Here is a 10,899-nt window from a genome sequence, read left to right as displayed (position 1 = left end):
GCTGAGTCAGGCTTCTTTGAAGGCGGCAGAGAGCTAGTTGGGATAGATTCCCTGCCAGCCCTCTGCTTGAGGTCCTTTCCAGCCCAAAGCTCTGTGAGGGAGAACTTTGGAAGGTTCCTGGTAGGAGAGTGTGACACCTTCTCCACATATAACTTGAGTTTCCCAATTCCAAACTCCATTGGGCCCTTGCTCCTTCTCTGGGCTGTAGTGTGCTGGGAGCTGGGAGTTATTAAGTAGGACTGAGTGTGCCAGGAGATATTGCTCAGGGAGCAAGTGATGGAAATTCACCTCCAACTAGTTTAAGCAAAAGGAAGGGATTTATTGGCTCAAATAACCAGGAAGGATAGGAGTGTGTGTGTGTGTGCGTGTGCATGCACGTGCATGCACATGCATTGGGGCAGGGGGCAAAGTTTAGGGACTGCCATGCCTCAAAAGATATGTTCAGCTTTCTCTCTTGCATTCTTTCTTGATCTCATTCATATGGTGGCTATGCTTTTTGGTGTGTGATAGCCTCATCTTTTTGTTTTGTTTTGTTTTTCCTGTTGCAATTGATCTTCCTCTCTAACTGCAGTTGGGGCGTGGAGAGGGAGAGGGAGGTCAAGACTTCTCTCATCTGCTGGAGGGCAGAGAGAGGTGGGTAGAAGAGCCTGGCAGCAATTTCATGCTCACATCTCAGAAGAAAGAGAGGATTTGCTATTCCCAGCACCCTCCATCTATAACATTTTAGCGAAGAGCTCCTTTTGGCCTAGATTGGGTCATGTGCCCACCTTTTGGACAAATCAGGTGTCCAAGAAAGTTATGTTTGACAATTGGCTAGACCTGGCTCATGGGCCCACCCTGAGGCCAGAGGAGCTGGGGAGTTGTAATTGGCAGCCCCACAGAATTGCATGGAAGAGAGGAGCAGGGGTTCAATGAAGAAAGGGTTGTAGTTATCAAAAGTAGACAAGGCTGTCCACAACAACACCCTCTCTCTCCCTCCCTGGCCCCTACCGCAGAGGACAGAGGAAGCAGTAGAATAAACTTAGCACACCTTCTTGGAGCTTCCATTTTATCTCAAGATTTTGGGGGAACATTTTAAAATGACATTTAAAACATTATTTTAATTTATAATACACATAGTTATACTATGGAGTAAAATTCAAAGCTCATAGGCTTTTAAGATAAGATGCAAGATGTCAAAAAAGTTTTGGACTTGTAGGAGGCTGTTTTTCTTATAGAATCTCCCCTTCCTCCTCCCTCTATATTTGTTCAAGCTCCCCTGATGTTAAGGATACCTGGGCAGCGATGGATTTGGGGCTGGAAAGTTGGAGATGCACTAGAAATGGAAATAACATGGATTTTGGTGCCAGACAGATGAAGCTTAGAATCTTGCCTACCATTTTCTAGCAGTGTGATCTTAGGAGAGTCACATCCTCTCTCTGAGCCTGTTTGCTCCCCTGTGAAATGGGTACAATGATGCTTGGTTGGTAGAGAAGTGGTGAGAAGGAGTATGTGACCTAATGCTGAAACACACAGCCCGGTGCCTGGCTTGAGGGAGACACTTTGTAAATGTGAGCTCTCATTTCCCTCCTTCTTGTGTCTGCAGGTTCTGCAGGCCAGCCCTGGCAGTCCAGAGCCCTAGGACCTGAGGAAGGGGACCCCTCACATGGCCCCAGCTAAACCTCTACCAGTCTTGGAAGAAGACTTATGAGTTGCTCCTCTTGCGAGCTATAACTGTAGATATGGGCATGGCGATAGCTGGCCTTGCCACCTTGTAGATACTGAATAGGCAATTAGTGCTTTACTGGTGTAACATTAGCCACTGAGGAGCAGTTCATTGTCCCATTTCCCCAGAGCTCCTGTAATAACTTCTTTTGTGGTATATATTACCCAGCACCACAGTGATGCGTTTACCTGTTTATAAGTCTCTTGCTGCCACCCGTTTGTGAATTCTTGGAGGCAGGAATTGTTTTCTATACCTCTGTTTCTCTGGCGCTCCACACAGAAGTTGGCACGGAGTAGGGGCCCAGTGATGGACTGAAGAAGGAATGAGTGGGCACACCTGCTGCACTGAGGTGCTTTTTGTCCAGGTAACAACGGTTACTACCACTGTTTATTGAGCCATTACAATATATCAGGTATGTCCTGAGAACTCTTTCATTTTTAAACAATAACCCTTAAAACAACCCTATGTCTTAGGAACTATAATTTGCCTCCATTTTATTTATTTATTCACTTATTTATTTAAGACAGAGTCTCTCTCTGTCACCCAGGCTGGAGTGCAGTGGTGCGGATCTCGGCTCACTGCAACCTCTGCTTCCCAGGTTCAAGCGATGCTCCTACTTCTGCCTCCCAAGTAGCTGGGATTACAGGCATGCACCAGTACGCCCGGCTAATTTTTGTATTGTTAGTAGAGACAAGGTTTCACCATGTTGGCCAGGCTGGTCTTGAACTCCTGACCTCAGATGATCCACTCTCCTAGGCCTCCCAAAGTGCTGGGATTATAGGCGTGAGCTACTGCGCCAGGCCCTGCCCTGCCCTCATTTTAGAGGTGAGAACCTGAGGCCCAAAAAGCGTTAAGGAAATTGACCATGGTCACCTGGCCTGAACGTGGCAGCATCAGAATGCGAGTCCACTTCTGTTAGATGTCAAAGCCAGGGAACCAAACGTCTATGTGCTTCTGTCTTCCATTTCAGGTTATACGGAGGGGTGGAGAGAAGAGAGCTAGGGTATAGAGAAATTCTTAGGAATAAAGCTGAAATGGGGGGTCCACTAGAGACAGAAAGGCTTGGTGATCAGAGATGATTCAGGGTGGGGCTTGGGGGGGAAATGGAGGGGGACTCTTGGGGCTGAAGGTCATGGGGAAGTTCAAGGGGACTTTGGGTTTGGGGAAACTGGGTTGGTGGTCAAATACTGTAGGGGGAGGTGTCAGGGCAGTGGCTTCCCCTTGGAACTGGCTGGAGACAGAAGCAGCCCCTTCAGGTTGTTTTCAAGCGGGATTGGGGGTGTTTAATATTAATAGTAATGACTGTGGTGGGAAGATAATAGGCCTCAGTCAGATGAGAAGGGGGTAAGCGCTTATCTATGGCTGCCGAAGACACATGTCTTTCACCTGCTCCTTTAATATCCCCCTTCTTTCATTCCACCGCCCACCCCCTCCCACCAGCCTAGAACAAAAGGGGTATTATGGGCCGGGGTGTTTTCAGGCTGCAGCCAAGGAGACCTCCCCTTCCCCCTCTGCCTCCCCCCGCCCAGTTTGAATGAGGCTTTTTCCTCCCGCAGGAGATTAGCTCCGTTTGACAAGGCAGTGAACTTTGGGAGGGGTGAGTGGGGGTCTCCTCCGGGAGCCTCTGGAGTGCAGCCCTGAAGAACGAATGCTGCCGGAGAGAGACCCCGAGAGACAGCCACGAAGACAGACGCACGGAGTCAGCAGCAGGCAGACAGACAGACACAGAGCAGGAGGCATCGAGGTAGAGTTAGATTCTTAGATACAGGGACACACACACACACACACACACACACACACATGCACATTCTTCAGGATGTTGGAATAAGCAGGGAGAGACAGGGAGAGACACACACGGAGAGACAGACAGACACACAGACATCCACAAAGAACAAAGGGACAGAGAAACACACATACATGGACTCTTGCCACCAAATAGTCTGACCCAGAGAGAAAGAGGCAAAGGCAGAGAGAGAGTTGAGGGGATAGAAGACATAAAGAAGGAGACACCAAAGAGACAAATAGGATGAGAAGAAAGGAAATGCAAGAAGAAGGAAGTGAGAAAGTGAAATTGTCAAGAGGCAGGGGAAAAAAAGGAGACCCAGAAGGAAAGTTGTAAGAAGGCTGCTGAGCCCTTGACCTTCCTGAGTCTGCCCCTACTGACCCTGGCCTTGGACCCTGAGGAGTTAGGCCACCCTAGAGTGGGCATTTGCATAGCTTTGGAGGACTAGGGGTGGATATGGAGCTTGGGGTGAGAGAAGGAAAGAGACTGGGAGTCTCCCAGTCTCCAGACTGAGAGACTGACACGGAGATAAAGGTAGTGTGTTAAGACAAGAGGTGAGTAGAAAATGCCCACAGGAAATGTGGATTTCCTTGATAAGATAGCCCCAGCCTCTGAAGGGACTGTCTGATGGGCATGAGCAGGTGTGGAGGGGATGTGTTGGGGAACAGGGTTCTTTTGGGGGCCATATAGAAAGAAGGCTCATCACTTCTGCTGGTGGCCAGATGGAGAGAGGAGGAAAACCAAAGGCCACTTCCGCTATCACTATGACTTCCAACACTATCCTCCTGGTGGAGAGATCCAATGGCATGGACCATTGGCATGAGGGAGCTGGGCTGTTAGACCCAGACACTCCTGGGTTCAAATCCCTGCTCTGCCACTATGTGACTTCAGGTAAGGGACCTAACACATGTTAATCCCACTTTCCCTATCTATAAAATGGGAATAACATAAGTGTTTTCCATATGGGTGGCTGTAAGACTCAAATTACAATAAAGTATTTAGCGCTATCAGAGACCCAGAGTAAGGATGAACATCTATTGGCTACTTATGTTTGCAGACCCTGTTCCAAAGCATCTTTCAGGTATTATTTCTTTTAAATTTCAGAACAATCCCTCCAATCATAGACTAAAGAACAATGTAAATCATAAACTGTTAAATGGTGGAGATATGATTTGAATGTGGACAGTTGAAGCTTAATCACCACTGCCTCTCACACTGGATACTACCCTTATTAATAAGAGACAGACAGTCCCAGTCTTCACCATTCAGAAGGAGCTCCCCAGCCTTTTTGGGAGGAAAAATGGAGTTTTATATACCTGAAGGGACTTGCAGTTCTTATGGGTGGAAGAGCAGGTGAGGCAGTGACGTGCTGGTAAATGTTCAACAGTTGGCTCTTCAGGAGGAAAAAAAAGCATTTGCCAATTTCTGTCCTGTAAATACTCCACCATGGCCAACTTCAAGCTACTAACGTGGCATTCACTGGGCCAGGAATTGGGAAAAGATGCCTGCAGTCTGCCCTGGCGAGCCCATGTGAACTGGCTCCCGCACGGCCCTGAGTAAGCGGGGCCCAAGTTGCCTGTGTGAAGAGATGACTTCAGTGTGCCCATCTTTCCTGGCTGCTGGGAGCTTCAAACCTCATTCAAGAGAGAAGGGGCACCTGGTACCTGCATTTTGTGCCAATGCCAGGGGCTGCACAGAAGGTTCCAGACCAATGTCACATGCTATGGAGTCCGTAGAAATTCAGAGGTGGGAGAGAGTGCTGGGGGCTGGCTGGTGGGATTGGTGTCTGTTTTGTGTAACCCTGTGTCCTCTGCAGTTGGGAACTCCTAGACACAGGAGTGGCCTCTTCTCCCCTGACCCCATCGTTTCTCCCCAGCCTTGGCCAGTCCTTGCACTCCCTTGCCCTCCGCAATGCCCAGAACACCCCTCTAGGTGCTGTGAGCTCCCAGTGTGTGGTAACAACAGTGCTGGGGGAGGCGTGGCACCAAAGACCTGTACCCCCTTCTTCTTTGGGGCCCCAAGTGCCTTCTGTGAAACCAAATACTCCCCCTAGTCGCCCACCCGGACACCTGACTCCCTCCTGAGGCCCACTCAGGGTGAAAGCCGTTTCCTGTCTGGGTCTTGGTAACCCCCTGAAATCCCGGCCTCCCTCCCCCGATCCCTTCCAAATGCTTATTAAGCCGTTTGCAAATCCAGGGCTGAACCGCGGCGTGAGTTTAATAAAGCAGAAGACAGATGCCATCCATCACGGGGCCGGGTGGGGCGAAGCGGGCTGATGGGCTCACACCCTTCTGGCTGCTTCTAGGTCAGCCAGCCACACATCCACACAGGCCCTTCTCCTTGTCCAGGACCTCCTGGCTGTAACCACTCTTCAGCTCACCTCCCTGTCACAGATCCTGATCAGAAGATCACTGGCCCATGGTGGACAGAGAATGGCCAGGAATCGGGAGGTCAGCCCAACCCCCGCATTCCACATGGTTGTCTGCAGCAGGCAGGACTGCAACTCGGGTGCAAAATTTAAAGGGAGGCAGGAACAAAACTTCAGTAACCAAGATAAATCATATGTTAATGCAATATTTTAAGAAATCAAACAATGCAACAAAAAATTCATGATGAGCAAAACCTTATAATTTTAAACAGACACAGGATCAGTCTCCTGGATTGTTCCTCTAATATCACTCATCAGGCATTGATAACGGCCCCCTCAAATTCAGCAGGTTCGATGTTCAGATGAACCTGGTCTGTTCCCAAGCCTGTTCCTTCTGTAGTCTTCCCACTTCAGGAAAGGCGATTCCTGACCAAAAAAACCGGAGTCATACCTGACTGCTCTCTTTTTCCCATACCCCACATGCAACTCTTAAGCCATCTCGTTGGCTCTACTTTCAAAATATGTCCAGAATCTGACCACTTCTCACCCCCTCTATGGTGGGCCCCTGGTTCCTGTCTTCACCTCCTCTCCCTGGGAGGACTGTGGGGCCCTCCTCCCTGGTCTTCCTGCATCCCCTTCCCCCATGGGGTACTCTTTCCACAGAGTGGCAGGAAGATACTGTAGAATTCAGACGGTGCCAGTCTTCTACTTAAACTGCACCCCTACCCCTGCTTCCCCATTGCACTGGGAGGAAGAGCCAGGCTCTTACAGCAGCCGCAGGGTCCCACATGATCTGCGCCTACCTTCTCTAACATGCCTCCTATTTTTCTTTCTCTTGCCATCAGTTCCCTGGACACAATTGGCAGGCTAAGCACACTCCTGTCTCAGGGCCTTTGCACTCACTATTCCCTCTGCTGACACTCTTACCCCAGATGCTCATACTGCACCTACCCCCCCGCCCCACCCCCATGACGCCCACTATTCCCCTGTGCTGTTTTTCACTTTTTTGTTAGTTTGCTCCTTGAGGACAGAGTTTATCCCCTTTGGGATTCCAGGGCTGGGCACTCAGTAGAGACGCAGTCCATGCTGTCTGCCAGCCCCACTGTGGCGTAGCCTTCCCCACACACTGGTCTTTGAATAGAAGTCTCATCATTAAAAGCACTTCCTGGCCGGGCATGGTGGCTCACACCTGTAATCCCAGCACTTTGGGAGGCCGAGGTGGGTGGATCATGAGGTCAGAAGTTCGAGACCAGCCTGACCAACATGGTGAAACCCTGTCTCTGCTAAAAATACAAAAATTAGCCAGGCATGGTGGCACGTGCCTGCAATCCCAGCTACTCAGGAGGCTGAGGCAGGAGAATCACTTGAACCCAGGAAGCAGAGGTTGCAGTGAGCCGAGATCGTGCCACTGCACTCCAGCCTGGACAACAAGAGCAAAACTCCATCTCAAAAAAATACAATACAATACAATACAATACAATACAATACAATACAATACAAGCACTTCCTCCTGCCTGTGTGCTAGCCTATGATTCTCATCTTGTTCCAAGCCCTGCAAAAGACAGCTCCTCCAGGAAGCCCAGCTCTTGGACAAGGTTGTGGGAACCAGAGGCAGAAGTGTGGTGCTGTGAAGGGCTCTGAACAGGAATCAAGAGCCCTAGGATTCAGTCCTGCTGTGGGTCCAGCTTGTTGTGTGTCCTTGGGCAAGTCACTTCTCTCTGGTCTTTAATTCCTCCTTTAGAAAAGAAAGTGTTTGAACCAGGTTCCTTCAAGCTCTGACCTTTTCAGATTTTAAAGTCTTCCGAAACTGAGAGCCTAATGTGGTCATCAGTGGAGTCAGATTATCTGGGCTCAAATCCTAGTACCACCATTTTTAGATGGGCCAAATAGATGCTCTAGACCTCTGTGGTGGCATCTGTAAAATGGTGACAACTGTAGTCCTTATGTCATAATATTGTTGTGAAAATTACTTGACAGAATGCATTGACGTACGATGGCTCAGAAAGTACCTAAAAGACTCAATAACTGTAGCTGGTTTCATTGCCATTAGTGATAGATGTGGAGAATTCCAGAGTGGTATAATTGGCTTTTTGTATTTTACCAAATACATATATTTATAAACAGCAGCAGGAAACCTTTTTTTCCAAGAAAATAAAATGGTGGGCTGGTCATGGTGGCTCATGCCTACAATCCCAGCACTTTGGGAGGCTGAAATGGGAGGATTGCCTGAACTCAGGAGTTTGAGACCAGCCTGGGCAACATAGGAAGACCCCATCTCTATAAAAATAATTTTATAAAATGGCTGACAAGGGGCCAAGGGAAGGCCTGTCTCTCAGCGTCTCGGCTCTGGGCTGCCCTGGTCCCTCTCAGTCTGGTCTAATATCCCAGACAATCTGTCGGATGCCTCTAGGCCTCCCTCCAAGGACTCCCACATCCTTATCCTCTGCACCCCAGCCTCCTCCCTCCTGCAGCACCTGGACCCAGCCCTCTCCACCAGTGTCCCCTGAGCCCGGGCTCCTGATCCCACAGAGACCCAGGCCTGGCTGCAGCTCGCCTTTCACACCCAGATGTAGGAGCGGGCGCGGGAGCCCTGCCTGGGGCTGGGCTGGGGGCCAGCGCAACATCTGGGATCGATTACCAACGGTGGCTGCGGAGTGGACTCCTCTGCCTGCCACTCACCTATCTGCTGGGGTGACAGAGGAGATGGGAAAGAGGTTTTCACAGCTGGAATAAATTGACGGGAAGTGGAGGGGGAGGGTCGAAAAGAGACAAAAAACAACATTGAACTCAAGATGGAAAAAAGACAGTATTAGAGGAGGTAATGAAGAAAATATGTGTGTGTGTGAGTGTGCCTGTGTTTGCACATAGAAGTGTGTCTGGGCAAGTGTGAATGTGTGTGCGTGTGTCTGGGGTACGTGTGAGTGTGTGCACCTATGTGCGTGTACACTCATGTGTCTAGGATAAGCGGACATGTGTGTTTGTTAGCAAATCAGCCAGGGTCTTTTATTTAGTGTTGTTTAGTATTTTGTTTATTTTGGGGACCGCCCACACCTACTGAAGACTGGGCAGAATGCCTATTTCTGGTCTCCCAGGACACACCAAGCTGGAGGAAAAAGGGGAAAGGGGGTTGAGGAAGGGGAACCTGGAGGAAGACAGGGAAGAAAGCAGGCAAGAATGAGCAAGGAGATACCAAGAGGGCAAGAAGGGAAAGGAAGTGGCAGAAGGGGAACAGCAGAAAAATACAGACCTCAGAAAAGGAGAAGAAAACAAGCCGAGTGACCCAGAAAACACCAGTGGCCTTGCCCTCAGCCCACCACCTGGTCCCTGCTCCTGCTGGACCCGGGCCCCAGAAGCTGTGTCCATCTGTGGGTGACAGCCAGGCCAGGCCTCTCTCCCTCCCTCTCCTCCCCCACCTGCTGACCCCACACTGCTCCCCTCGTCCCTCCCTCCTCCTCCCACTTTCTCCCTCCCAGCCCCCGCCACCACCTCTGAGGCCAGGCTGCAGGAATTCCCCTCCTTCCCCATCTGCTCCCCACTGACACACTGCAGCTTTCAATTGCCCGCTCATTAGTCACCAAGATATTTCCCCTGGACCGCCCTCCTCTCCAACTCCTCTGCTCCAATCCAGCCAAGGCCAGCGGGGTCCCAGCCTCCCATCAGGCTCCTGTTTGCAGCGGACTATTCTGTAATAAGCTTGTCACAGGCAGCGGAGCCACTGCTGAGGGACTTGGCCCTTATGGTGGAGGGGCCCCTTGGAGGCCCCTGAAGTGTGTAGGAGGGGCTGGGGGCGGGCCCCCCACCGTGAGCAGCCCACTTTAGGCGGCTAACACCCTTCATAATATTATCCCTGTTGAGTCCATAAAAGCCCCCTCTGGCGTTACAGCATTTGAGAGACTATTAAATTTTAAGGCCTTCGGCCTCCGGGGAGGAGGCAAGTTGACGTGGGTGTTTTGTGGGCTCCTGGTTGCATGGCAGCCAGAAGGAGACTGAGGAGGGGCCAGGGCCTTGGAGAGGCTGCAGGGGCAGGGGAGAGGCTTGGGGCCAGCCCAGGGCCCAAGAGCTGTCTGTGTGTCCTGATGGGTTGGCTCTCACATTTTTGAAGACTGTGGGACTGGCCATCACTGGTGTGGGCACAGGAGAGCCGGGAGAAGAAGGGGCTCTTCCCCATGAGCCTGGGAGCGCTGAGGGACTCTGGGCCTTCAGGAGCCATGCTGTCTCCCATAATCCCTGGCCAGCCGGTGCCCCCTCAAGAGGGCCCCATTCTCTGGCCTCCTTGCCAGGTGTTTACAGTGGGGTATGTGTCAGCTGCTCTCCCCCCCAGGCCTTAATGCCACCCACATCTAGAGACTGGGGCTTTGGGTTGGTGCCCTCCCCACCTCTCCCGTGCCCTTCTGCACCTTTAGGCCAGCTCTACGAGAGCAGTCAAGGCCCCATCAGAGGCACTCTGGGCAGGTGGAGAGGCCCTGCCCAGGAGAAGAAAATCTGTGTGCAACCCAGGCTCTGCCACTGATGAGGCTTGTTCTTTGGGCTTCATGTTTTTTTTTTAGCTGCTATCTGAGGGAGTTGGACTGGATAATCCCTTAACTTGCACCAACTCTCTGAGTCTAATTTCACTACTTTGTGAGAGAAGGAGGGAATATTATGTTCAAGTAAAACTGCAGCACATTTATAGTAATGGCTAACGTATTTGGGCACTCACAATGGACTGGGCATTTTACATACATTCTCTCATGACAGCACCCCTCTGATGTGACAATTATTCACCCCCACTTTTACCAGAGGAAATGGAGGTATAGGGAGATGAAGTGTCCTGCTCAGGGCTGACTGGCTCTAGAGAGTATTGCTTTGCAATTTTCAGTCCATTGCATGGCCCCGACCACCTATTAACCTGCTATGTGCTAGCATTGTGCAGGAGGACTCAGGATAGTGTGGTGGAAAAGACACAGCCTGGTCCTCTAGGAGTTCTCAGTACTCGTGTACATGTTCTCTCAGTCAACCCCTCTGAATCTCGTTTTCCCCCTCTGCACTTGGGGAATACCAAAG

The 10,899-nt window shown here is 50.6% G+C and overlaps 1 long non-coding RNA gene across 2 annotated transcripts in view, besides 4 other annotated features; it reads left to right on the top strand.

Moving 5' to 3' along the window:
• LOC112267957 (uncharacterized) overlaps positions 1–10,899 on the top strand; it is a 52,113-nt gene that overhangs the window by 6,847 nt on the left and 34,367 nt on the right. The window lies entirely within an intron of this gene.
• Positions 4,042–4,258: a transcriptional cis regulatory region, noted in NCBI's record as "silencer region targeted for CRISPR/Cas9 deletion". NCBI's record gives its function as "negatively regulates FOXP4 gene expression in K562 erythroleukemia cells {active_cell/tissue: K562}" and the evidence as "EXISTENCE:knockout evidence [ECO:0001091][PMID:32094911]".
• Positions 4,065–4,225: a silencer, noted in NCBI's record as "fragment chr6:41461668-41461828 (GRCh37/hg19 assembly coordinates)". NCBI's record gives its function as "represses an EF-1alpha promoter that drives an FKBP-Casp9 reporter gene in an ReSE screen in K562 erythroleukemia cells {active_cell/tissue: K562}" and the evidence as "EXISTENCE:reporter gene assay evidence [ECO:0000049][PMID:32094911]".
• Positions 5,605–6,249: an enhancer, noted in NCBI's record as "H3K4me1 hESC enhancer chr6:41459644-41460288 (GRCh37/hg19 assembly coordinates)". NCBI's record gives its function as "activates a minimal SCP1, AML or CMV promoter by ChIP-STARR-seq in primed H9 embryonic stem cells {active_cell/tissue: H9 hESC(primed)}" and the evidence as "EXISTENCE:reporter gene assay evidence [ECO:0000049][PMID:30033119]".
• Positions 9,061–9,150: an enhancer, noted in NCBI's record as "active region_24508". NCBI's record gives its function as "activates an Ori minimal core promoter by ATAC-STARR-seq in GM12878 lymphoblastoid cells {active_cell/tissue: GM12878}" and the evidence as "EXISTENCE:reporter gene assay evidence [ECO:0000049][PMID:35858748]".

This window comes from Homo sapiens, chromosome 6 (genome assembly GCF_000001405.40).
Source record: "Homo sapiens chromosome 6, GRCh38.p14 Primary Assembly".
Taxonomy (NCBI): Eukaryota; Metazoa; Chordata; class Mammalia; order Primates; family Hominidae; genus Homo; species Homo sapiens.
The sequence above is the reverse complement of the archived record's forward strand: the minus strand, read 5'-3'. Positions and strand labels throughout refer to the sequence as shown.